The sequence below is a fragment of the Homo sapiens genome, chromosome 3 (genome assembly GCF_000001405.40).
Source record: "Homo sapiens chromosome 3, GRCh38.p14 Primary Assembly".
Taxonomy (NCBI): domain Eukaryota; kingdom Metazoa; phylum Chordata; class Mammalia; order Primates; family Hominidae; genus Homo; species Homo sapiens.
In genome coordinates, this window is record NC_000003.12 from 186,809,728 (window position 1) to 186,837,717 (window position 27,990).

The 27,990-nt window shown below is 47.2% G+C and overlaps 1 long non-coding RNA gene and 1 pseudogene across 1 annotated transcript, besides 2 other annotated features; one reads left to right on the top strand and one right to left on the bottom strand.

The window, feature by feature from the left end:
• Nucleotides 1-1,152: 1,152 nt before the first annotated feature.
• Nucleotides 1,153-15,794, bottom strand: LINC02043 (long intergenic non-protein coding RNA 2043). Its single transcript, NR_125409.1, has 4 exons — nucleotides 15,580-15,794; nucleotides 14,715-14,985; nucleotides 13,818-13,894; nucleotides 1,153-2,421 (listed from the first exon to the last, which is right to left on the bottom strand). It is a non-coding gene; the product is annotated as a long intergenic non-protein coding RNA 2043 (long non-coding RNA).
• Nucleotides 2,000-2,102: a silencer, noted in NCBI's record as "fragment chr3:186529516-186529618 (GRCh37/hg19 assembly coordinates)". NCBI's record gives its function as "represses an EF-1alpha promoter that drives an FKBP-Casp9 reporter gene in an ReSE screen in HepG2 liver carcinoma cells {active_cell/tissue: HepG2}" and the evidence as "EXISTENCE:reporter gene assay evidence [ECO:0000049][PMID:32094911]".
• Nucleotides 16,822-17,610, top strand: MCF2L2P1 (MCF2L2 pseudogene 1; annotated as a pseudogene).
• Nucleotides 17,627-17,866: a silencer, noted in NCBI's record as "silent region_14988". NCBI's record gives its function as "represses an Ori minimal core promoter by ATAC-STARR-seq in GM12878 lymphoblastoid cells {active_cell/tissue: GM12878}" and the evidence as "EXISTENCE:reporter gene assay evidence [ECO:0000049][PMID:35858748]".

A 27,990-nucleotide genomic window follows, 5' to 3' on the forward strand; every position in this document is an offset into this window, starting at 1 on the left:
CACAGTCTCACCCTGTTGCTTAGGCTGGAGTGCGGTGGCACTAACTCAGGTCACTGCAACCTCCACCTTTTGGATTCAAGTGATTCTCGTGCCTCAGCCACTTGATTACAGACACATGCTGCCAAACGTGGCTAACTTTTGTATTTTTAGTGGAGACAGGGTTTTACCACGTTGTTCAGGCTGGTCTCAAACTCCTGACCTCAAGTGATTCTCCCGCCTCAGCCTCCTAAAGTGCTGGGATTACAGGCGTGAGCCACTGTGCCTGGCCTGGATGATATTTTATAAGGTCACTAGGAAAGGAAAAGACTTGGGTAGCAAATGAAAAAAGAGAGCTGTCAGGAGTGGAAAAGATCAGATAGTGGATGATAGTGTCATTTTGAAATCAGAAAATGCAGGCTGAGTGCAGTAGTTCATGCCTATAACCCTAGCACTTTGATAGGCCAAGGTGAGAAGATCACTTGAGCCCAGGAGTTTGAGACCAGTCTGGGCAACACAGCTGAGACCCCATCTCTAGAAAAATAACAAATAAATAGAAAAAAAAATCAGAAAATGCAGGTGTAGTGGATGCTCTGGTATGCTACCTTTCAGGACTGAGATACTCACTCCCCCAGCTGCTGGGAGGGTTGCTGGCCAACTCTTGAATGAGTCCCTGTCCAGCAACTGTCTTCAGCCAACAAAACCACTTTATCAAAAATTGCATTCCTTTTGTGGAGGCAGCCCACCTCCAAGGGCTAGTCTAGGAGGATGCTACAGTTTGGATGTGGTTTGTTCCCGCCCAAACTCATGTTGAAGTTTAATTGCCAGTGTGGAGGTGGGGCCTAGTGTGAGGTGTTTGGCTCACTGGGGTGGATCCCTCATGAATAGACTGGTGTCATTCTCAAGATAGTGAGTGAGTTCTTGTTCCTGGGAGATTGTATTCGTTCTTATGGAAATGGATTAGCTCCTGAGAGAGCAAGTTGTTATGAAGTGGGTCAGCCTCCTTGGTCCCCTCACTCAGCACGTGCCTGCTCACCTTTCTGCTTCTCCTCCATGTCATAAGGCAGCATGAGGCCCTCACCAGAAGCTGAACAGCCTGGCGCCATGCTCTTGGACTTTGCAGCTACCAGAATTGTGAGCTAAAGAAATCTCTTTTCTTTTTTTTCTTTTTTTTTTCATTTTTTATTGATCATTCTTGGGTGTTTCTCGCAGAGGGGGATTTGGCAGGGTCATAGGACAATAGTGGAGGGAAGGTCAGCAGATAAACAAGTGAACAAAGGTCTCTGGTTTTCCTAGGCAGAGGACCCTGCGGCCTTCCGCAGTGTTTGTGTCCCTGGGTACTTGAGATTAGGGAGTGGTGATGACTCTTAACGAGCATGCTGCCTTCAAGCATCTGTCTAACAAAGCACATCTTGCACCGCCCTTAATCCATTCAACCCTGAGTGGATACAGCACATGTTTCAGAGAGCACAGGGTTGGGGGTAAGGTCACAGATCAACAGGATCCCAAGGCAGAAGAATTTTTCTTAGTACAGAACAAAATGAAAAGTCTCCCATGTCTACTTCTTTCTAGACAGACACGGCAACCATCTGATTTCTCAATCTTTTCCCCACCTTTTCCCCCTTTCTATTCCACAAAACCGCCACTGTCATCATGGCCCGTTCTCAATGAGCCGCTGGGCACACCTCCCAGACGGGGTGGTGGCCGGGCAGAGGGGCTCCTCACTTCCCAGTAGGGGTGGCCGGGCAGAGGCGCCCCTCACCTCCCGGACGGGGCGGCAGGCCGGGCGGAGGGCTGACCCCCCCACCCCAACCTCCCTCCCGGACAGGGCGGCTGGCCGGGCAGAGGGGCTCCTCACTTCCCAGTAGGGGCGGCCGGGCAGAGGCGCCCCTCACCTCCCGGACGGGGCGGCTGGCCGGGTGGGGGGCTGACCCCCCCACCTCCCTCCCAGACGGGGCGGCTGGCCGGGCGGGGGGCTGACCCCCCCACCTCCCTCCCGGACGGGGCGGCTGGCCTGGTGGGGGCTGACCCCCACCTCCCTCCCGGACGGGGTGGCTGCCAGGTGGAGACGCTCCTCACCTCCCAGACAGGGTCGCGGCCGGGCAGAGGCGCTCCTCACATCCCAGACGGGGCGGCGGGGCAGAGGCGCTCCCCACATCTCAGACGATGGGCAGCTGGGCAGAGACGCTCCTCCCTTCCTAGATGGGATGGCGGCTGGGCAGAGACGCTCCTCACTTCCCAGACTGGGCAGCCAGGCAGAGGGGCTCCTCACATCCCAGACGATGGGCGGCCAGGCAGAGACGCTCCTCACTTCCCAGACGGGGTGGCAGCCAGGCAGAAGCTGCAATCTCGGCACTTTGGGAGGCCAAGGCAGGTGGCTGGGAGGTGGAGGTTGTAGCGAGCCGAGATCACGCCACTGTACTCCAGTCTGGGCACCATTGAGCACTGAGTGAACGAGACTCCATCTGCCATCCCAGCACCTCAGGAGACCGAGGCTGGTGGATCACTCGCGGTTAGGAGCTGGAGACCAGCCCGGCCAACACAGCGAAACCCCGTCTCCACCAAAAAAATACGAAAACCAGTCAGGCGTGGTGGCGTGCGCCTACAATCGCAGGCACTCGGCAAGCTGAGGCAGGAGAATCAGGCAGGGAGGTTGCAGTGAGCCGAGATGGCAGCAGTACAGTCCAGCTTCAGCTCGGCATCAGAGGGAGACCGTGGAAAGAGAGGGAGAGGGAGACCGTGGGGAGAGGGAGAGGGAGATGGAGAGGGAGAGAGAGAGGGAGAGGGAGCAAGAAATCTCTTTTCTTAATAAATTACCCGGCCTGACAGTCTGTTATAGCGACAAAATGGACAACGACAGAGGGGTATAAAGGTTTAGCCCTTTGTCTTAAGGTGGCACAGTTCTTATGCGTTATTCAAGCTCCAGATCTTCGTTGCACCTGCATCACAATACAACTTCTGCCCAGTCCTGCCTCCCTCATCCCTCTCATGTGTTGATTCTTAGAGTACCACACCATTAAAAGCCTGCAGGCAAATCGCAAAATCTGTTTCCTAAGGAATCCAACCCAGAAGGGGTCCTTGAAAAAGGCTCTGAGACGGGATTTTGAAGCTGTATCCCCTCCCAACCTGTTGGTAACAGAAACCCCATCACTGGTGGTGGTGGAGCTCCCACGGCCCCCGGCATCCTATGGCAATTGTTAAAATGTTCATCAGTGGCAAACTGGAATGGGGTGCCAGGAGAAGGAAATGCATAGCAGATGTAATATCTCAGGGGTTGTAAGAAAGAGTAATTATAAGAACTTTGGAATTGGGTGGACATGGCTGGGGGGGATGTTACTAATTCCTTAAAGATAATGAAGGGTCGAGTGTCACCAATTGCCAGTGAGACCAAGGATGAAAGCCAGAGGGTCTGGCCGGGAGCAGTGGCTTACGCTTGTAATCCCAGCACTTTGGGAGGCTGAGGTGGGCAGATCACCTGAGGTCAGGAGTTTGAGACCACCCTGGCCAACATGGCAAAACCCTGTCTCTACTAAAAATACAAAAATTAGCCGGGTGTGGTGGCGTGCGCCTATAATCCCAGCTACTCAGGAGGCTGAGGCACGAGAATCACCAGAACCTGGGAGGCGGAGGATGTAGTGAGTCGAGATCATGCCATTGCACTCCAGCCTGGGCGACAAGAGAAAAACTCCATCTCAAAAAAAAAAAAAAAAAAAAAAAAAAAAAAAAAAAAAGCCAGAAGGTCTATTTGGCAGCATATAAAATTATTCACATATCCTGCAGCCAGAGGGGAAAACAATCTGTGAGCCAGACCCCAAAAATCAATTATATTAGTGGCAGGGTTTGAGAGAAGGTTAAATTCTCAACTCCAGTAAATCTACCACACCAAGTTCAGGACCCTGTTGGGAAAAAAAAAAAAAAAAACTGAGACGCTGAGACTTGAAATGGGGCCATCTGGGTCAATGCATTTGAAAATCTTAAATTTCCAGATTCCTCTGAATGCTATTGATCTACAGAAGTAGCCCATTCCTCTCTGTTAAGTGCTGATGCTCCTCTCTTAAGGATATATGTACAAGCTTCTGCCTTGTAAGACAGCACATATCTCCCCTCATCCCCCATCATTTCACCCTCTTCTCCACTCCACCAGCACCGAAGGGGAGGTGATTATCCACAAGTGTGAACACCTGGAGGTAGGGACCATGGGAGCCACTCTAGAGTCTGCCTGGCGCAGAATACGTGGAGGATTCCTATGACCAGCTGACAGAGGAGAAAAAGGCTAAGCCTGGTTCGTGGATGGGTCCGTTGGTACGTAGGTATCAGACAAAAATGGGCAGCTGCTGTGCTACAGCTTCACTTAAGGGTAGACCTCAGGGACAGCAGTGAAGGAGTGTCCTCCTAATGACAGAGCAGCACACAGGGCATCTGTTCATCCACTTTGTGAAGGCAGAGAAGGGGCCTGAGGCAAGGTCATACAGAAGACTCATGGTCAGCGTAAGTAACTTGGCCAGTTGGTCAGGGACTTGAAAGGAGGAAGATTGGAAGATCAGGGATGAAGGTGTCTGGGGAAGAGATGCGTGGCAAGTGTACTAAGGCAGCGGGAATGGAATGTGAACATCTTTGTAACATATGTTAACACCCAGCAGACAGCATTTCCTATGGGGGAGGCACTCATCAAGCAATGAAACAGAATGGCTTTTCCAGTTATTCTCAGCCACCTTCTTCCCTCAGCTGCCCTAGTGTTGGCATAATAAGTTGATGAACACGGTAGTCATGGTGGCAAAGATGGACACTATACATGAATCCAACAGCATGAATTGTTATAGCTACTGCACTACTGATAGTCTAACCTGACAGAAGGTTAGACTGTATATGTTAGAACTTTCACTGCTAGCCGAGCACGGTGACTCACACCTGTAATCCCAGAACTTTGAGAGGCTGAGGTGGGTGGATCACTTGAGGTCAGGAGTTTGAGACCAGCCTGGCCAACATGGTGAAACCCTGTCTCTACTAAAAATCCAAAAATATGGTCAGGCACAGTGGCTCACGCCTGTAATCCCAGCACTTTGGAAGGCCGAGGCGGGTGGATCACCTGAGGTTGGGTGTTCGAGACCAGCCTGACCAACATGGAGAAACCCTGTCCCTACTAAAAATACAAAATTAGCCAGGCGTGGTGGCATACACCTGTAATCCCAGCTACTCGGAAGGCTGAGGCAGGAGAATCGCTTGAACCTGGGAGGCAAAGGTTGTGGTGAGCTGAGATCGTGTTATTGCCCTCCGGCCTGGGCAACAAGAGAGAAACTCCATCTCAAAAAAAAAAAAAAAAAAAAAAATTAGCTGGGCGTGGTAGCACACGCCTGTAATCCCAGCCACTGGGGAAGCTGAGGCAAGAGAATTACATGAACCCGGGAGATAGACGTCACAGTGAGCCTAGATCGTGCCACTGAACTCTAGCCTGGGCAACAGAGCATCTCAAAAAAAAAAAAAAAGAACTTTCACTGCTGAAATTCCTAACATATACAGAAGCCAGTGATGACCACTCCTCTCCCCCTGTGGCATCACCCCTCAACGAGATCAACCAACCTTTTCCACAGAGAGAAATAAAATTTTAGTTGTTTCCTCCAAAAACAAAATTCTGCTCTCTGGATTGTTTTAAAAAATCCTTACTTCCTAGTGTTTCTCAAAGAATGGTTTAGGGCCACGGCAACAGAATCACTTATGGGGCTTGTCACAAGTGCAGATTTCCAGTCCCCGCCTAGAAATAATGAATCAGAATCTGTAGGTTTGGTGTCTGGGAATCTGTATTTATGCAATGTGGAGGTTTTGGGTTAGTGGTTACTATGGTTTAAATGTTTTTGTCCCCTCCAAAACTCATGTTGAAACTTAATTCCCAATGCAACAGTGTTGGGAGGTAGGGCTTAGTGGGAGGTGTTTAGATCATGAGGGCTGTGCCCTCCTGAATGGAGTAATGCTGCAATAAAATGGGCTTTGGGGAGTGGTTTTGCTCTTGCACATTTCCCCTTCCCCCTTCCATCCTGTGATGACTAAGCAAGAAGGCCCTTGAAAGATGCTGGTTCCTTGATCCTGAACTTTCCAGCCTCCAGAACTGTGAACCAATACATTTATGTTCATTATAAATTGCCCGGTCTCAAGTATTCTCTTATAGCAGCACAAAATGGACTAAGAGAGTGGCCTTTCACAACACGATTCAATATTCTAACTAAATTTCTCCCAGAAAACAATTCAGTTGTTATGAGATGGAAAATGAAAATATAAATTAGGTACATGCAAATGGAAAAATCACCTTACCATATCAGTAGGTGTGTTGAAAAATCACCTTACCAGGAGATAGAGACCATCCTGGCTAACATGGTGAAACCCTGTCTCTACTAAAAATACAAAAATTAGCCAGGCGTGATGGCAGGTGCCTGTAGTCCCAGATACTTGGGAGGCTGAGGCAGGAGAATGGCGTGAACCCAGGAGGTGGAGCTTGCAGTGAGCCGAGATCGCCACTGCACTCCAGCCTGGGCTACAGAGTGAGACTGCGTCTCAAAAAAAAAAAAAAAAAAATCACCTTACCATATCAGTAGGTGATATGCTTGCATTGCTATAAAGAAATAGCTGAGACGGAGTAATTTATAAAGAAAAGAGGTGAATTGGCTCACGGTTCTGCAGGCTATACAGGAAGCATGGCACCAAGATTTGTTTCACTTCTGGAGAAGCCTCAGGGAGATTTTACTCACGGCAGAAGGCAAAGGGAGAGCTGGCATCTCACGTGGCGAAAGCAGCAGCAAGGGGGTTGGGTTGTGGGGGAGGTGCCACACAATTAGATTTTGTGAGAACTCACTCACTATTGTGAGGACGGCACCAAGCCATGAGGAATCCGCCCCCATGACCCAGACACTTCCCACCTGGCCCAACCTCCGACACTGGCGATTACATTTCAACATAAGATTTGGGCAGGGACGAATGTCCAAACTATTATCAGTTGGACAAATCCACTATTCACTTACCAATAGAGAACCTCATTTACAGGGTCCCATGTGAGCCTGGCATTGTGTTCTAGGTTGTGGGTAGAAATCAAAAGCATGAAGTTTAGATGAAGAGGAAAAAAAAAATCGATATATGGTAGTCCCCCCTTTTCTGTGGGGGATGTGTTCCAAGACCCACAGTGGATGCTGAAACCACGGCTAGCACTGAACACTGCATATACTATGTTGTTTCCTGTACGTACATACCTCTGATAAAGTTTAATTTAGAAATTAGGCACAGTAACAGATTAACAACAATAATGATAAAACAGAACAATCATAACAACATCCTGTAATAAAAGTTCAGTGAATGTGGCCTCTCTCTCAAAATATCTTACTGTACTGTACTGTCCAGTTAATATTTTTTGTTTGTTTGTTTGCTTGTTTTGAGATGGAGTTTCGCTCTGTTGCCCAGGCTGGAGTGCAATGGCGTGATCTTGGTTCACTGCAACGTCCTCCTCACAAGTTCATGCAATTCTCCTGCCTCAGCCTCCCTAGAAGCTGGAATTACAGGCACGCACTACCACACCAGGCTAATTTTTGTATTTTTAGTAGAGATGGGGTTTCACCATGTTGGCCAGGCTGGTCTTGAACTCCTGACCTCAGGTGATCCACCCGCTTCGGCCTCCCAGAGTGCTGGAATTACAGGCATGAGCCAACGCGCCCAGCCGCATTTAACACTTTTGAACTGCGGTTCACTGAGGGTAATTAAAACTGCAGAAAGTGAACTGCGGGTAAGAGGGGGCTACTGTATGTAAATCATTGTAACTAAAAGGCCCAGAGGTATTGTCCCAGTCCCTTCCTTTTACAGAAATGCAGGCGGGGGGTCAATTTCATACAGCTTGTTGACAGCAGAGCGGAGTCTCCTGTGCCTGGTGCACTAGCAGGGTCTGATGATATGTCATGGTGAGTGATGCAAACAGCGAGGGCTCTAAGAATTCAGCAGGGATCTACAGTGGATGGTGAGGGAGCAGGAGCCAGTGCCTAAAAGGGGATGAGACTCTAGGAGCAGAATGCAGTCTCAGGGGTATCCAGGCAATGGTGGGAGGGTGGTGTCCATGATTCCAAGATCAGGAATACTGGGAAATATCAGTACCTCACATCTGTCTAGCACTTTACAAAGCTCTAACATATAAATATTATCACCTCAGTTCATTCTTACACCACCCTACAATACCTATCAACCTTTGGGAATTGTTAAGCATAATAACCCTATACACTGGGCAAAGCATACAGGGACCTCAGGGCCATGGGTGAGAGGAAGGACACTGGGAGCCAATGAGGGATGTAGAGAGAGGGCCTTTCAGAGATAACCAGGCAGAAGAGGACATTGTACCAGATGATGGAGTCAGCTAGGGCTTGGGCAGGGAAGAGAAGAGCGTCACTGATGGGTGAGACACAGCAGCACAAGAAGCTGAGGAGAGAGGCAGGTACTGAGGTTTAGGACAAGCTCCTCAGCTGTGGCATGACTATCTGTGATCGGGAGGTGTAGGGAGACTGCGGGGAAAGATCAGGCCCCACCCAGAAGAGTGCAGGGGCAGGCAGCGGGGTGGGTGGGAAACAAGGCAAAGCCTCAGTCCTGGCAGAAATCAAGGCCACTGTCCCATCCTAGCAACGGGGCAACACGTGGCAGTCACATCGGGAGTAAAAGGTGAGCCCAGGAACCTTGAAAATCACAGAGCTGCTTCGAAGTGAGCACATTCAGTGATGATCTGGAGCCTAGCCTGGGAGAGTCAGGGATAGGGTGGAAGGAAATAAGACTGGGGGCAGGTAGGCCTCAAATATTGGGCTGAAGGGTTTGGCTTTTGTGCTGTTGTAGGCAATGCGGAGCCCCTGGAGGCTGAGCTCACAGATGGCTTTCTTTGTAGACCTGAGACAACACGCGAACGAAGAATATGATCACTGTCCCGGGAATGTGTGAGTTTTCCTCCACAAACTTACACAGTTTGGGCTCATTTCTCTTCTTTTTGCAACACATAGAAGACTGGAGAATTTGGTGGGCATACTGATACTGCTTAACTCAATATGAACAGAGCTGGCTGTTAAAACTTGGTTGGACCCTAATCAAAGTATGCAGGGAACTCAGTAGGATGGGCTGGAGAAGTGGGAGAGGATGCCAGGACCAAGTGAGCCAGGGACTGAAGCAACTTTTTCTGAATGTATGAAAGAGAAAAGAAGAGCAAATATATATATGTAAATACGTGGTAACAGCATTTTATGTGTGTGGTGGCCTAGTTCCTTTAATACTTGCTTACTCAAATAGGTGTATATATAAAATAAGTTAAAATTGTTTTTCATTTGAGTGCTGATTTTTTTTTTTCCTTTCAGCCTGAAATAAGTCTCTGTGTGAAACATGCAAAAATTGCTGGCTTGGGTAGACACTACACACGCACACAGGCACACACACATTTTAGAGACAGGGTCTTACTCTGTTGCCCAGGCTGGAGTGCAGTGATACAATCATAGGGCCTTGCAGCCTTGAACTCCTGAGCTCATGCAATCCTCCTGCCTCAGCAAAACATTTTGAGAGTTCATGCAGATTACTGATTTTCTAAGCTTACTACAAGGTATTTTTAATTTTTTTTTAATTTAAGTTTTTTTTCTTTTTGAGAAAGGGCTCACTCTGTCACCCAGGCTGGAGTGCAGTGGCACGATCTTGGCTCACTGCAGCCTCTGCCTCTCAGGTTCAAGTGACTCTCCTGCCTCAGCCACCCAAGCAGCTGGGATTACACCATGCCCAGCTAAATTCTGTATTTTTAGTAAAGACAGGGTTTTGCCATGTTGCCTAGGCTGGTCTAAAACTCCTGAGCTCAAGTGATCTGCCTGCCTCAGCCTCCCAAAGTGCTGGGATTACAGGTGCGAGCCACCACGCCCAGCTGGTATTTTTTATTTTTATAAGAAAGATACTTGGCTGGGCACGGTAGCTCATACCTGTAATCCCAGCACTTTGGGAGGCCAAGGCAGGCAGATCACGAGGTCAGGAGATCGAGACCATCCTGGCCAACATGATGAAACCCCATCTCTACTAAAATACAAGAACTTAGCCAGGCATGGTGGTGCGCACCTGTAGTCCCAGCTACTCGGGAGGCCGAGGCAGGGGAATCGCTTGAACCCGGGAAGCGGAGGTTTCAGTGAGCCGAGATAGCACCACTGCACTCCAGCCTGGTGACAGAGCAATACTCCATCTCAAAAACAAGACAAAACAAAAAAAGAAAGATACTAATTCTCTCTCAGTGATTATTAGCAACTCTGATTCCTTTTGGCCCTACATTGGTTTGGAAAAGAAATACACACTTCAGAGATACACCAGTCTAAATGTACAAGTTTAAACTCTGGTTCACAGAGCAAAACTTTGCAAAAGGTCCGGATGTAGCCCAGTAACCTAGATTAATCTTGAGACTCCTCCTTTCATGAGACCTAGTTTGCTAGTGGGGCAGATTAGGCAGAAATTAGCCATGCAGTTCACCACTCACGAGGCAGCAGCAGTAGCATGGTGGTGAAGTGCTTGATACCCTGCAGATCCAGGTTCAAGAAAGACCAGCTTTGTCCTTTTGGATAAGTTACCTTATTTCAGTGCCTTAAATACTATTTATTTATTTATTTAGAGACAGGGTCTTTCTCTGTCACCCAAGGTGGAGTGCAGTGGCATGATTTCCGCTCACTGCAACGTCTGCCTCCCAGGCTCAGGTGGTCCTCTCACCTCAACCTCCTGAGTAGCTGGGGCCACGGGTGTGTGCCACTATGCCTGGCTAATTTTTTGTAGAGATGGGGTTTTGCCATGTTGCCTAGGCTGGTCTTGAACTCCTGGCCTCAAGCTATCTGCCTGCCTTGGCCTCCCAAAGGGTTGGGATTACAGGTGTGAACCACTGCGCCTGGCCAAATATTTAATCTTTTGTTTTAAAAAATGGAGGTGACACCTTCTAGTCTCCGTATGAAGAGTAAATGAGATGGGAGAAGCACAGCACCTGGCTCAGAGTAAAGTTTCACTAATGTTAGGACAATGGTACTGGCCAAGTTTTCTCTAAAGGATAAAGCCCGAACTCAGCCCCTCAGACAGTGAATAAGAAGTTTCTTTTTTTCTTTCTTTCTTTCTTTTTTTTTTTTCTCGAGACGGAGTCTCGCTCTGTCGCCCAGGCTGGAGTGCAGTGGTGAGATCTCGGCTCACTGCAAGCTCCGCCTCCCGGGTTCACACCATTCTCCTGCCTCAGCCTCCCAAGCAGCTGAGACTACAGGTGCCCACCACCACGCCCGGCTAATTTTTGGTATTTTTTTAGTAGAGACGGGGTTTCCCTGTGTTAGCCAGGATGGTCTCGATCTCCTGACCCCCTGATCTGCCCACCTCGGCTTCCCAAAGTGCTGGGATTACAGGCGTGAGCCACCACGCCCGGCCAAGAAGTTTCTTTTCTGTATTTTTACTTTTTTTTATTTTTTGAGACGGAGTCTCGCTCTGTCACCCAGGCTAGAGTGCAGTGGCCCAATCTCGGCTCACTGCAACCTCCGCCTCATGGGTTCACGCCATTCTCCTGCCTCAGCCTCCCAAGTAGCTGGGACTACAGGCGCCCACCATCACGCCTGGCTAATTTTTTGTATTTTTAGTAGAGACGGGGTTTCACCGTGTTAGCCAGGATGGCCTCGATCTCCTGACCTCGTGATCCGCCCACCTCGGCCTCCCAAAGTGCTGGGATTACAGGCGTGAGCCACGGCGCCTGGCCCAAGAAGTTTCTTTAAGGCAGCTCCAGCTTTTTCAGTCAAAGTGAAATGGTCCTGAAATTTGCATATGCAATGTTTACCTTTCTTTTTCATTAAACGAGAGAGGGAACCAAAACAAAAATACAGTTTGACCATTTAAAATGTTGGAAGAGCTGCCAACTTGGTAGCACTATCTAGAGTGGCTCCATTCTGCCATCTAGTGGAAGGGAAAAGACAAATTTAGACCAAAATACTTCCATCTTTAATTTACAAAAAAGTGTGTTCTTTTGTTTTTTGTTTTTTAAAGTTGGGGTCTTGCTCTGTTACCTAGGCTGGAGTGCAAGCAGTGTGATCATAGCTCAACAGCCTGGAGCTCCTGGGCTGAAGCCATCCTCCCACTTCAACCTTCCTGGTCACTGGGATTACAGGCATGAGCCGCAGCACCAGGCTGTGTTTTCTGATTAGCATAATTTAAATTATCTACTAAATTTGCTCGTTAATAGATTCACTTTGTAAAGAAAAACCACACAGTATTCTAAACACTAAGCAGTAAAACTAAATTTCCCAAAACATTTATATTTATAAACTATGAATTTCAAAGATCTGCAGAGGAAAGAGAGAACGTTCTTGAGCTCTTATTATCATAAATTTTCCTGCCCCTCCCTTTCCCGTTTATATTATCCATTTCTACACATACTCTTTACGTTTATTTTGGCACATAGACTGGGAGAAGCCCAGAGTCTCTGAGGATTATATCTTTCCCAAAATACTGAGCAAAATCAGTGGGTGAGTAAGATCATTCCATTCATTTTTCAAAAATGTACACTCACTTAAAATGTTGATGTATCCGGGCATGGTGGCTCAAGCCTGTAATCCCAGCACTTTCAGAGGCTGAGGCAGGCGGATCACAAGGTCAAGAGATTGAGACTATCCTGGTCAACATGGTAAAACCCCGTCTCCACTAAAAATACAAAAATTAGCTGGGCATGGTGGTGTGTGCCTGTAGTCCCAGCTACTTGGGAGGCTGAGGCAAGAGAATCACTTGAACCTGGGAGGCAGAGGTTGCTGTGAGCTGAGATCATGCCACTGCACTCCAGCCTGTTGACACAGTGAGACTTCGTCTCAAAAACAAACAAACAAAAAAGTTGATGTAACCAAGGTATTTGTTAAGGCCTGTGTGCTTGAATTTGTTTTTTGCTGGTGTATGTATGCATGTTTGCTTTGTTTTGATTTCTATGGACATTATCTAGGTATTTATGATGATTTCCATTGCCTAGGATGAAGACATCTGCAGCCAAAACTCCCTGAAAAGTTAGTAACAGTAGCATACCTGAAGTGACTGGTGCTATTCTGAGGCTGTTACTCTTTTTTTGAAACAGGGTCTTGCTCTGTCGCCCAGGCTGAGCGCGATGACATGATTTCGGCTCACTGCAGCCTTGACCTCCCAGACTCAAGCAATCCTCCTGCCTCGGCCTCCCAATGTGCTGGGATTACAGCACAGGCCACCACACCCGGCTAATTTTTAAAGTTTTTTTTAGAGACGGGGTCTCCCTATGTTGCCCAGGCTGGTCTCAAACTCCTGGGCTCAAGAGATCCTCTTGCCTTGACCTCCCAAAGTGTTGGGATTACAGGTGTGAGCCAACACATCTGGCTGGTTATTACTCGTATTACTAGCAAATGTTATTTATTGAGTTTCTATGGTGTACTAGACACTGTTCTTTTTTTTTTTTTTTGAGATGGAGTCTCGCTCTATCCCCCAGGCTGGAGTGCAATGGCACAATCTCGACACACTGCAACCTCTACCTCCCAGGTCCAAGCGATTCTCCTGTCTCAGCCTCCCAAGTAGCTAGGTTTATAGGTGCCCGCCACCATGCCAAGCTAATTTTTGTATTTTTTTTTAGTGCAGACAGGGTTTCACCATGTTGGCCAGGCTGGTCTCGAACTCCTAACCTCAGGTGATCCACCCATCTCAGCCTCCCAAAGTGCTGGGATTACAAGCGTGAGACACCCTGCCTTGGCCAGACACTGTTCTTGATGTACATTTTGCTAATCCTTCCACTAAATCTCCAAAGTAGATATCATTGTCTTCACTTTAGAAATAAAAAAATGATGCTTATGACCACCTACCAGCAAATCTTGATGCGCCAGGGACTGGGGGGAATAATCATTGACTAGCTGGCTATTATGAGTCACAGTTTCCATTCCTGCAAAATGAGAATTTTTTTGACTTAGGGGTGGGGTGTTCTCTAAGCTTTTTGCCTGATTCTAATTCTTCTGCTAGAAGCTGTGGGTTTACAGAGGTGAAAAAGATAGCCCTTCCACCAAACATATATTCTATTATATATATCTTATCTATATATATTATATATATTCTATTATATGTATCTTATCTATACATATTATATATTCTATTATATATATCTTATCTCTATATATTATATATATTCTATTTATCTTATCTCTATATATTATATATATTCTATTATATATCCCTTCCACCAAAAATATATTCTTTTATATTAATAAAATATAAACCCAGGGTCCAATGGAAAAGACTTAAGGGCAGACACAGAGTGGGATGTGGTTTGTGTTAGGAGAGGGCTGAAGGGACATCATGGCAGGCATTTGTGTGACCTCCCACAAAACACCCTCCTCCACTCTGACCTCACTTTGTTCTTCCTTCCCTTTGTCCTTATTATTTCCTTTCTGCTTCTCTTTCTTTTCTGTCTCCCTCTGCCCTGCCCTAGAACGGTGCCTTTCTAATTGTGGGTTATAACACATTATTAGTAGGTCATAAAATCAATTCAGTGGATGTGGACCAGCATTTTAAAAAGGGAATTAATAGAATATAAACTCCTTAAAAGGCGTCACTCATACTCAGGATAATACTGCTGTGTAAAATTTGTTTTAATATGTGTCAGCATGTGTACACTGTGTCAAGATGTAACACTTACATCCTATTTTAAGACCCTGCTGTAGACTAAACCAGGACCCCCATGGTGCTCCAGGCGTCCCCACCCTCACCTGTGGCACCAGGAGCTCCTGCTGTCACTGGCCCAGCTGGGTCCTGTGTCTTTCTCTGCGTTGTCAGGGCCTGCGCTGGCAGTCCACCTACAGGGAGGTGGAATCCGGGGCTTGACGGCACTGGGAGGATCCTTCATCTTTCCAGGCTCAAGCAAATCCTCGCCTGGAGGCGGGGAATGGGCTAGATGACCCCTGAAACAGTCCAGTCCAGCATCTGAGAGCTCCTCTGGGTCCAGCCCTGTGCCGCCTTTCCACGCTTCCCTGCAGGGCCCTGGGGAGAGCAGAGAAAGCAGCTGCCAGCTCCAGGCAGTCATTTTACCCCAGGTGCCACTTACCCTGCGGAGGGGCTGGAACCAGCTAATCATTTTACCCCAGGTGGCACTTACCCTGCGGAGTGGCTGGAGCTTCTCAGGTTTTTCAGTTCCTGTGTCACCTCCCAGCCCTGCCCACCACATGCTGTGGGTGTCTATGGCTGACGAACGCCCCTGAGCCAGGCCAACCCCCAGCCTCCCAGTGGGTGGCTCTGTGGTCCCTGGCAGCCCCGGCATCATCCGGAGCACAGAGGCCATGGACACTCAGGGGATGGTCAAGGTCGTAGCTCCCTCCGTTCTTCCGTTCCTCCCTCACAGAGCTTTCAGCAAGATAGATGGTCATTCTTCTGTCCTCACTGCTCCCGGCATAAGGGGACCCCAGGGCTGGATGACTTCCCTAAAGAGGAATCTCTCAGGGTTTCCTGCAGCCGCTCCCAAGTCCCGTCTGGAGGATGAAGGTGGCGGACACATCCCTGACGCAGTTTCTCCTCTGCCCTCCACCCCTCACCCATCCCACCTCCTGGACTAGGAACTCAACCAGGACTTGCTTCAACCTGAGAAGATGGTGTCCAGCCCCCTTGGAGCCTGCCAGCATCCGGCGGGATTTCAGAGGGGCCTCCAGGGAGGCGCTGCCCAGCTGCCCCCAGTGTTGCTCACACAGCCCCCACTGATCTGCTCTGGGGAGGCCACGGCCCCAGAACGCGGCTTGTGGGGGGCCTGGGGCAGCAGGCCGGGAGACGTCACTTGTCCGCTGCCTGCTCACCCAGATAACTGCAGCTCCCTCCACTGCCGCCTACAGCCCTCCCGCCATGCCTCTGCCCAGAAGGCCCTCCCTCTCCAGTCCTGTCCGCCCCTCAAGGCCTGCCCAAACCTCCCTGAATTCTCGCCTGAGCAGACACTTTCCTAGCACGGCTCCCGCCGCGTGGATTACTCAGCCGAGCCTCAGTCTGGGGCTGCCCTGTGCTGGGAGCTTTATGCAGATGCTCGGCTCCCTACCCTGGCTTGTGAGCCGTGTGGCGCAGAAACCGCATCTCACTCAGAGCGAGGGTAAAGAGCAGCAGGGCTGGAGAAGCCAGCTGCCCTGCCACAGGCCAAGAGGACTTGGCCAAGTGACCATTGCTGTCTGTTTCCCCAACTGTAAAGGGGGCTGAGACCCTTACAGGGTTGTGAGGCTTAAACTTTGACAAACGCCTACCATCCCACCAGGCACAGGGCAGTTGCTGAGTATTTGGCGGTGGCTGCTGTTCCCCACAGTGTCCAACACCTCCCGGGGATGTAACAGGTGCACCACGGGCAAGACTGATGGGTTTATCAGTTCACTGCGGAGAGAGGCAGGGATGGATGCACTTGCTTGTTCCTCTTATTTTCCCTTATGGGGAGCAGTGACACTTGGCAGAGGCTGCCAGGGAGATGGGAAATGGACATTAATTACGGGAAAGAAAAGGAGGCAAGAAGGGGAGGAGGGTGGGAAATAGACAGGGGAGGAAGAAGGGACGGAGGCATGGTTAGAAGACAGGCAAGCAAAAAAGACGACTGTTTTCTTGGACGAACAGGGAGGTAGGGCCATGAAAAGCATGTGGACGCTTCTTCTCAGTGAATTAAGGCATTTCAGCGCTGGAAAGAGCCTGAAAAAATCAGACTCCCTTCACAGCCCAGCGGAGTGCAGGCCCTGGGAGAGCAGGAGTTAGAGATGGGGAGGACCCCGCCTGCAACAGGCACTGCCTGCTACACCCTGCCATGGGCAGAGGGGCTGTCCTCCCACCCCAGAGAGGCCCCATCCTTTCCTTTCTTTCCCCAAGGCTGCTCCAGCAGGGAGTTTAGCTCCATGGACACCTTTGAAGGCTATGAAGGTGCAGAAGACATGGAAAAGGTGAGCAGCGCTCTGAACGTAATTTCTTTCTTTCTTGTTTATTTCATCTTCTTCCTCCTTCCTATTCATCAGCTCCTCCTGCCTACTGTCCCTCGCCTCCATCCCTCTCCCCCTCTTCAGGATTCTCACCCATAAGGACCTGGTTAAGCCAGGGAACCGAGGTCACTAGTCCTCAAAGTGGCTCTGACCCTGCTAGCCCGGCATGTCCCCACGTGGCTGTCTCCTTGGCGGTGCGCTGGTGTCCGGTCATAACTGGGGCTCCCGCTGAGAGCCCCGTGGCCCAGGTGGGAGGGCTGGGGTGGGCCTCAGCCTGCCAGCGGAAGTCACCACATTGCCCGGCCTGGCCACAGCCTCCAGCAATAACTCTGAGGGTGCACCCGTCCCCCCCCCCGCCCCCCCTTCCAGCTCGCGGGGCCTTTTCCAGTTGGATGACAGTCACGAAACCTGTTCCTCCAAATCCGCTTTCCTGGAGAGGAGAGAAAGCACCCAGGGAGAAAAAGAAGAACGCGATGAGGAAGCAACGTGAGTGTGAGCGAGGAAAACTAAGCGCCTCTGTGGGCCACGGCGTCTCTGACTTTCTTCTCGGAATTGCAGGGCGACCGGCAGCACCAAGAAGGAGCGTGCTGGGGCGTCCACGCCGGCTGACTCCTGCGGGGGCGACGGCTGGTTTCCAGGCGAGGGCGCGGCGCCCGAGGACCTCCACCCCGGAGAGCTGCCCTCCCTGCGGTCGCCCCGGCTCCCCGGCTCCAGAGCGCCCGCATTCCCGAGAGAGGCGATGTGGGGGCCCGGGCCCTGCCCAGCTACGCAGAAAGCAGCCGGGGCCGCGGCGGCGGCAGAAAGGGGACGCCCAGGGCCGCCTCCCGGGAGCCCGAGGGGTGCCCTGCGTGCTCGTCTAGCTCCCGCCGCCCGGCGAAGGACCTCGCGGGACGGGGACCCCTAGTGCGCCTGCGCGAGCGCGGCGGGCGGAGGCAGACGCTCGCGGAGGCCACGCCTCCTAAGGCTCGGCCGAGCCTAGGAGGAGCCGGAGCTGGCTCGGGGCTGCTCCCACCCGCCAGCGCCGGCTGCCCAGCCTGGCAGTGGACCGGGTGTGCAAGCCACTTAGCACCTGACAGGTTAATTCAGAGGGGGTGGTTCCAAGGTAACTGCTGAGAGATTTACGTTTGGATTTGTTAGTTTAAAAATTAGTTTTCCAGTTACCCGGGCTGGAGTGCGATGGCGCAATCTCTGCTCACTGCATCCTCCGCCTCACAGGTTCCTGCAATTCTCCTGCCTCAGCCTCCCGAGAAGCTGGGATTACAGGCATGTGGCACCACGCCCGGCTGATTTTTGTATTTTTAGTATAGATGGGGGTTTCACCATCTTGGTCAGGCTGGTATCGAACTCCTGACCTCAGGTAATCCGCCCGCCTCGGCCTCCCAAAGTGCTGGGATTACAGGTGTGAGCCACTGCGGCCTGCCGATTTTCAGAATTTTCGTCAGAGGTTTGCATCTGTTTAGTTTTTTAGTTATCTTCAGACTTGTCATGTTTTCTTTTCATAAGTTGCAAATTAACTTTTCTGTTTTTAATTTTTACTTACTTAGTTTTAAGGTGTATTTACTTTCAGAATTTCTTAGGTTTAACATTGCTGTCAGTCAGGGTCCAATCACTGAAATAGACCCCACACCAATTATTTTAACAGAAAATTTAATATAAGGAATTGTCACACAACTATTGGAGAACTAAAAAGGCAAAAAAAAAAAAAAAAAGGATGATATTGAGATATCATGGAGATTTCAACTGCAAGAAGCAGCTACTACCTCAAGAGCTAAGGGAACAAAAAGAAGTTGGAATGATCAAAACTCAGAAGTCTGAAGATGGCCCCAGGGCTGGGGTTGTTCTTTGCGGAGGAGACACTGCTCAGAGCCTGGGGTCTGGGAGCTGGATGCAGAACTCGGGAGGGGACATGGCCAGCTCGTGCTGGTGTCTCTGAATGGGCATCATCAGGCTGGTTATGGGAGTGCTGGGAAAATGACAAGCTGGAACCAACTGCTGCTACTGACACCACCTGTCATTCTCAGAGTGGAGACCTGTTGCTAGAACGCTGACAGGAACCCAGGAGCACAGGAAGGAGCCCATCGTGACCCTGCACCACAGAGCAGGGGCGGGGGTGGGGGTGGGGGGCAGGGGGATGTAAAAGCTGAGGACCATCCCAGCACACTTGCTTTGGAGTTACGTAGAGCTCCGTTAGGATTCAGTCAGTTTTGGAATGGTTAGGGGTGATTTCATTTTTTCACTACATGTGGGATCTGGCAGAATCTTCAGTCTCCTGGTCTTGTTTCTGGAATGGAGTGGGTCACGAACACCTCACAGGAGTCTCTCCCAGGAGACTTGAGAGGATCACTTTAGAATTTAAGAAAACAAAAATAACATGTCTCACTTTGTTCACAAAGAAGCCCTTTGACAAAGTGGCCAAAAACGGGCAGAGCCTAAGGAACAGACTCTTAGGGAGGGGTCCTTGGAACAGTATCCTGCAGAGCGTTCCTCTTTCAAATTCTTTAGAATTTTACGCTGTTTTGTGGGGCCACCCTGTCCCACTCCCTTTCCTAACAACACAGTGCCTTTCTTGCTTTGAAGTTGTAAACTGTTTTTTTAATTGTTTGCACAATAAAATAAAGTTCCTCCCAATAAGGGACAGACTCTTAGGGAGGGGTCCTTGGGACAGTATCCTGCAGAGCGTTCCTCTTTCAAATTCTTTAGAACTTTACGCTGTTTTGTGGGGCCACCCTCTCCCACTGCCCTTCCTAACAACACAGTGCCTTTCTTGCTTTGAAGTTGTAAACTGTTTTTTTAATTGTTTGCACAATAAAATAAAGTTCCTCCCAATAAGGGACAGACTCTTAGGGAGGGGTCCTTGGAACAGTGTCCTGCAGAGTGTTCCTCTTTCAAATTCTTTAGAACTTTATGCTGTTTTGTGGGGCCACCCTCTCCCACTGCCCTTCCTAACAACACAGTGCCTTTCATGTTTTGAAGTTGTAGACTGTTTGCATAATAAAATAAAGTTCCTCCCAAATCAATAATCTGTAATCTTAGGTTCTTCTACCTGTATTATCCTTCAGCCCACATTTTTCCATTTGACCATCAGAAAGTTTACATATGTATGTACATATGTATGTACGTATGTATGTATGTACACATTCCCTTTATTCAATACCTATTTCCTGAGCACTCTCCTTCCCTGAGGACGGGTCTGGCACCAGGTAGAGACCAGGGAGGTATGAAGATGAGTGAAGCATTCAGTCCAGTGGGGGAGACAGATGTGGAAACAGAATCACAACACGATGTGGCAAATTCTCTGGGAGCACAGAACACCATCACTGACTCTTCCTGATACAGTCAGGAAGGGGTGACACTGGAACTGGGTCTTACAGGCAAGTGTCTTCTCCTGGTGGAGGATGAGAAGGGCACCCTGGCGGAGGGAATAGCATGAGCTCAGGTACAGGGGCACGGAGGAGCTGTGCATGGCAGGTAGGACGAGTTGATGGGGGCTGCAGGGTTGCAGGGTTCAGAAAGGCACTAAGCTTAAGGGCTGACCCTGGTGCTTGACACATCCTGCCTCATTTGTTCCTGCAGCAAGTCTGCAAGATAGTAGGGAGCAACCTCAGGAGTCCCATGTTTCTCCTAACACAGTTGACATTTCTGGATATCTTAAGCGCCTTCCCAACTTTCTCCTTCTCCCACCCTTATTTTCATTTGTCTATTGAAGATGAGTCCCTCCTTCCTTCGCCTTTTCACTCCTGCTTCTTAAACATATGTAGAGATGAAGGAGGGTTGATACCAGCAAGCTGTGAAACACAGGAGACTTCAGCTGAAAAAGGAGGTGGAGAAGAGCAGAGCAGAGGAGACCAGCTTGTGGGAATGGCTGCATAAGTTCTGCAGACCAGCATGGTGAGGAGTGGGCTCCGGGCATCACCAACCATGACTGCCTCCAACTATATTCAGCAACCATTGTAAGGTCATGAGGATGCCTTTCCCAAAGGGGGAACCTGCTGTAGATCCAACCCAGGTTTGTGAATGTAACAGACTGGAATTTTTAAAAGCACACAGAGCCCTTTGCTGCACTAACAGCAATGGACATGTCTACCAGGTCCAAAAAAAAAAATGGTCCTACACAATCTGCGGTGGTGTATTTTCACACTTTTAATAATACACACCTATGCATTCCGTCTTGGGGTGTGTGTGTCTGTGTGTGTGTGTGTATGTGACTAACTTAACACACTGAACGCATTACAATGCATTAAAAAGTTCTTCAGCAGACTTCTCTGCTTTAGCCTCTGCTATGGTCTAAATGTTTATGTCCCCGCCAAATTCACTTGTTGAAATCCTAACCCCCAGGGTGATGATGGTGTTAGAAGGTGGGGACATAGGGAGGCGATCGGGTCATGAGGGCAGAGCCTTCATGAATGGGATTATTATCCTTATAAAGGAGGAGAGACTTCCTTGCCCCTTCCACTGTGTAAGGGCACAGTGAGGAAGCACCACCTATGGACCGGAAAGAAGGCCTTCGCTACTGGTGTCTTGATCTTGGACTTCCCAGCCTCCAGAACTGTAAGCAATAAGTTTCTGTTGTTGTTGTTGTTTTTCTGAGACTGAGTCTCGCTCTATTGCCCAGGCTGGAGTGCAGTGGTGTGATCTCGGCTCACTACAACCTCTGACTCCTGGGTTCAAGTGATTCTCATGCCTCAGTTTCCCAATTAGCTGGGATTACAGGTGCGCGCCGCCACGCCAGGCTAATTTTTGTATTTTTAGTAGAGAGGGGGTTTCACCATGTTGGCCAGGCTGGTCTTGAACTCCTGACCTCAAGTAGTCCACCCGTCTCGGCCTCCCAAAGTGCTGGAATTACAGGCATGAGCCAGTGCGTCCGGCCAGTTTCTGTTGTTTATAAGCCACCCAGTTCATGGTATTTTCTTATAGCAGCTCAAATGGGCTACAACAGCATCTCTGATTATCCTATAACAATATATCCGTTTCTCTATGGGAATCCATTTCTGTGCGAGAATATGTAAGAACCTCAGATGTTTCATGCCATTGCTGAACAGAGGAGTCTCCTGGGTTCTGGACACTTGCCTTGGGAAGCACATCACTTGGTTCCTCTCAAACGCATTTGACCACTGAATAGCCAGCCACTCACTATGGAAACACAGCCCGAAGCACTCTCAATCTTTTGGACCTCAGCCCTTTTCTGGATCTATGAAAATGTCCATACTGGATGGTGCTGGCAGGTTGCGAAGTGCCCAAACCTCCCACGCTTCACAGGAGGAACCCTCTGCAAATCTTACATGGCAGGTGGGTGACCAGAGGAGCCATTCCAATACCAGTCATTGCTGGATGTTTCTGGGGTGCTGTCCCAGGTGCTGTGGAGCATATCTACTCTGTCTAGTCTGTCTTTCCATTCCAGTCCAGTGGATATTGTGTCTTCTTCTTCAGGTCCTTGTTCACTGTAGCTGCTCAGGAAATAGTTGTGAAATGGATTGTTGTTGTGGTACATTCTTAAAGTCCCTTGAAAGTAAGAAAATAAACGAATGACTCTTCTGTGGGTAAAACTTTGGTCATCTTTTCACTTGTTTAGATGAGAAAGAATACAGAACAATGAGATTATAGTCTCCTAAAACTTTTGGAAAAATTCTTCATGTCCTCTATAGTGTTATAATTTTGCTATTGTCCCCCAAAGGGACTCAGGTAACATGCTTTGGATGGAATGGTGGGATTAAAGGCACCTTTGATTCTGCACATTTGGTGGTGTTGTGAATACAAACTAAACACTAGCTGTGCAGTATGCAATATTTAAAGGAAGTAGAAATCATCCAAATCAGCATTTCCAGAGTTTTTCAGAACAAGCAAGAGAATACAAGAGATCAGCAGTTTTCTCCCTCAAGTTGTTCTATAGGAAAAAAAAAATTTATCCAGGCTCAAAGAAATTCTATAGGAAGGAAATCTGCATACTTTTGCTAACCCCATCATTTCCCAGACTCTTTGAATTCAGTAGGAAGACCGCTTGCTCCACACAGTTATTCAAGGTCCCCAAGATTCTTCTATCTGGGTTTTCCATCATGCCCTAGAACAATGTCTTTATCTGCATGGTCAAAACTGACTTACAGTCGTATCTGTGGTCACAGATAGGGGAAGGGGACTGAGGATTACATGTGCAATATTTTAAGACTCAACCTGCAAGTGGCACACATCACTTTCTCTCACATTCCATTAGTGAAAACTTAATCATGTGGTCACTCCTCCCTTCAAGGAGGGGTAGGAATTGTGGTCCCTAATGGGGAGGCCATTTCTACATTATTTCTGACAGCTACAAGTCTGTTAATGTGTATCATAGTTGTCCCACCAGCCTGCAACAGAGCAGGGGCTAGAAGCCAGGTCTTCCAACTCCTAGTCCAGAGTTCCCATTACCACACTAGTATTTCTGTACAGTAAGTCCTCACTTAATGTTATCAGCAGGTTCTTGGAAACTGCAATTTTAAGTGAAATCATGTATAATGAAATCAATTTTGAAATTTCTCATCAATGTTGTAACTGAGTAACGTTATTTGAGGACCTGCTTACATAATTTTGCTTGAAGTCCAAGTTTCCAAGAACCTATTGATGACATTAAGTGAGGACTGACTGACTGTGTTCAGCCAACATATATGGAGTCCTCCTGTGTGCCAGGCTCTATGTCAATATGAGAGTGGAAAGTCCTACAAAACAGAATCCCCTAATTATATATTTACTCTAGTATCAAGCTTTATTAATGGATAAACGTTCAGATAGCTTTGTAAAGCTATCCCAAATTATCTGATAGCTTTGCATGATGTTCCTTTCATTTGCCAAGAACATACATATTCTTGGTGAGGGATTAACACATATAATGAACAGAGTAGAGAATCCTGAAAGAGATCCCAATGCATTTGAAAAATGGGTATATGAAAAAGTCATTTAAAAAATAGAACCAAAAAGATAAATATACATTAAAAAGGAGGGTGTTGAGTCCACTAACTAAGAATATATATATATATATATATATATATATATATATATATATATATATAGCTAGATTTCCCTTTAATTCCCTCTTGAAGAAGGAATTGCTTATGCAAGACTCCAAAGCTGAGAACCAGATTGTCTTTCAGTTGTCATGCAGCCTGGAAAGCCCCCACCTTATGTACCAATAGATTGTGAAGCAATCAAAGACTACTACATACACTTTAAAGCCAACCAGAAAGACTCCTTCCCTTCCAAGTATCTTTTACCCGATTGGAACTAGAATATGTCACCATGAAAGAACACTCACCAAAGATTGGCTTAAGTCTTCCTCCTTTTAGTCTGTAAAACTTACTCTTCTAGGCTGGCGCAGTGGCTCACGCCTATAATCCCAGCACTTTGGGAAGCTAAGGCGGGTGGATCACCTGAGGTCAGGAGTTCGAGACCAGCCTGGCAAACATGGTAAAACCCCGTCTTTACTAAAAATACAAAAATTAGCTGGGAGTAGTGGCAGGTGCCTGTAGTCCCAGCTGCTCAGGAGGCTGAGGCAGGAGAATCGCTTCAACCTGGGAAGCGGAGCTTGCAGTGAGCTGAGATCGTGCTACTGCACTCCAGCCTGGGCAAGAGTGAGACTCCATCTCAAAACAAACAAACAAACAATAAGACAAAAAAACTTACTCTCCTTTCAAACCCCTTCCAACCTCTACTATAATGAAAATGATGGCAGCTGACTCCCTTATAACAGTAAGTTTTGAATAAACAGCCTTTGATTAATTCTATTTTGTTTGCCAAAGAAAATAATTAAAGTTTGGTAAAATAAAATAATTAAAAGAAAAAGAAATCATGGACACTCTAGAAGAAAACATTTATTTGAGCTTTACTGCTGAAAAAGAAAACATATTTTAAAAAGTAACCTTGACTGCACAGCAAAAGAAACTATCAACAAAGTAAGCAGACAACCTACAGAATGGAAGAAAATATGCACAAACTATGTATCTGACAAAGGTCTAATATTCAGAATCTATAAGGAACTTAAATCAACAAGCAAAAAACAAATAACCCCATTTATGGCCTTTGCTTACTTTTTGGGCAGTCCTCAAAAGAAGACATCCAAGTGGCAAACAATCATATGAAAAAATGCTTATCATCACTAATCATCAGAGAAAAGCAAGTCAAAACCACAGTGAAGTATCATCACACACCAGTCAAAATGGCTATTATTAAAAATAACAGATGTTGGCAGTGCTGCAGAGAAAAGGGATTGCTTATGCACTGTTGGTGAGAATGTAAATTCATTTAGCTACTGTGGAAAGCAGGAGATTTCTCAAAGAACTAAAAATATATATATCATTCAAACCAACAATTCCATTACTAGATATATATCCAAAGGAAAATAAATTGTTCTATCAAAAAGACACATGCACCTGTATGTTCATCGCAATATTATTCGCAATAGCAAATACATGGAATCAACCAAGGTGTTAATCAACAGAGGAGTGGATAAAGAAAATGTGGTACATATACACCATGGAATACTATACAGTCAGAAGAAAGAATGAAATCATGGCCTTTGCAGCAACATGGATGCAGCTAGGGACCATTATCCTAAGTAAACTAATGCAGAAACAGAAAAGCAAATGCCACATGTTCTCATTTATAAGTGGGAGCCAAGTGAGTACACATGGACATGAAATGGAAACAATAGACACTGGAGACTACAAGAGAAGGGAGGGGGACAGGGATTGAAAAACTACCTATTGGGTACTATGCTCAGTACTTGAGTGATGGGTTCAATCGTATGCAAATTTCAGCATCATGCAATATACCCTTGTAACAAACCTGCACATGTACCACCCCTGAATCTAAAATAAAAGTTGAAAAAAACAAAAACAAAAAAACCCCTTGGAATGGGAGGAGTCTTTTCAGACCAAACATGAGACCCAGAAGACAAAAAGTAAACTGTTAATAAGTTAGGCTGCATAGCAAGCCAAAATTTTTATATGAAACATTTTTTAAAGTGAAAAGATAGATAAATTTTCAAAACATATAACAAAGAATTAATTTCTTTGGTATACAATGAGCTTTTAAAAATTAATAAGAATAATTCAATGAGAGGTTGAAATGGGTACAAATATAGAGTTAGGTAGAAGCATAAGACCTAAGTGTTTGATAGATCAGTAGGGTGACTATAGTTCAAGATAATCTATTGTACCTGTCAAAATAGCTAGAAGAGAACAATTCAAATGTTCCTAGCATTAAAAAAGATAAATATTGCCGGTGATGAATACCCTAATTACTTTTTTTTTTTCCAGACAGAGTCTCATTCTGTCACCCAGGCTGAAGTGCAATGGCGCAATCTTGGCTCACTGCAACCTCCGCCTCCTGGGTTCCAGTGATTCTCCTGTCTCAGCCTCCCAAGTAGCTGGGATTACAGGGGCCCACAGCCATGCCTGGCCAATTTTTGTATTTTTAGCAGAGATGGGGTTTCACCATGTTGGTCAGACTGGTCTTGAACTCCTGATCTCAGGTGATACACCCACCTCGGCCTCCCAAAGTGCTGGGATGACAAGCGTTAGTCACTGTACCCGACCTCCTTAGATCTTTACACATTATATGAATGTGTCAAATTATTACATGTATCCCAAAAATATGTACATTATGTGTTAATAAAAAGATTTTCAAAATTAATAAGAATAATTCAATAAGGAAAATGGACAAGGGAAGAAACACACAATTCCAGGAAAAAATACAAATAATCAATAAATATATGATACATTTAATCACATATAATAGAAGAAATACAAATAAAAATAAGGCACTTTTAACACAATCTATTAGAATACCAGATATTTAAATTTGACAGAATTGAGTATTGTTGAGGATATAGAGAAATGGGCACTCTCATCCTACATTGGGAGAAATATAAATCAATACTGGATTCTTGAGATTCAGTTTACAATAAGTACAATTTAAGATGTGCATATCTCTTTACCCTGCAATTCCACTTCTAGAAATTTATCCTAAATATTTACTTACAAATGAGCAAAGACATATATGTACAGGGATGTTCAGATTTTTATGTCGGGTTTTTGTACGGACATAGTTTTTTTTTTTTTTTTTTTTTTTTTTGAGATGGAGTTTCACTCTGTCGCCCAGGCTGGAGTGCAGTGGCGTGATCTCGGCTCACTGCAACCTCCGCCTCCCAGGTTCAAGCAATTCTCCTGCCTCAGCCTCCCAAGTAGCTGGGATTACAGGCATGCACCACCACACCTGGGTAGTTTTTCTATTTTTAGTAGAGACAGAGTTTCACCATGTTGGCCAGGCTGGTCTCGAACTCCCGGCCTCAGGTGATTTGCCCGCCATGGCCTCCCAAAGTGATGGGATTACAGGCATGTGCCACCGAGCCTGGCTATATGGACATAGTTTTTAGTTCTTTGGGATAAATGCCCAGAAGTGTTACTGCTATTTAATCTTTAAAGAAACTGCCAAACTACTTTTCAGAGTGGCTGCATTATTTTCCATTCCCACCAGCAAAGTATGAGTAATCTATTTTTACGCATTCTTTCCCAAATTTAGTATTTTCACTTTTTTTTTTTTTTTTTTTTTTTTTTTTTTTTTTTTTTTTTTGAGGCAGGGTCTTGCTCAGTTGCCTAGGCTGGAGTGTAGTGGCACTATCTCGGCTCACTGCAACCCCTGCCTCCCAGGCTTAAGCGATCCTCACATCTCAGCAACCTGAGTAGCTGGGGCTACAGGTGAGTGCTACCACTCATGGGTAATTTTTTTTGTATTCTTAGTAGAGGTGGAGTTCCGCCATGTTGCCCAGGCTGGTCTCAAACTCCTGACCTCAAGCGATCCACCTGCCTCTGCCTCCCAAAGTGCTGGGGTTACAGGCGTGCACCACTGTGCCTGGCCATTCTCACTATTTTTAATTCAAAATAGTTTGTGTTCTCTATTCTCCACATCTTTTTGTTCTTTTTAATCATCTAAAGTCCATAGTTTGTATTAGGATTAACTTACTGTTGTACATTCTCTCTCTCTCTCTCTTTTTTTTTTAATGAGATGGAGTTTCTCTCTTTTTTGCCCAGGCCAA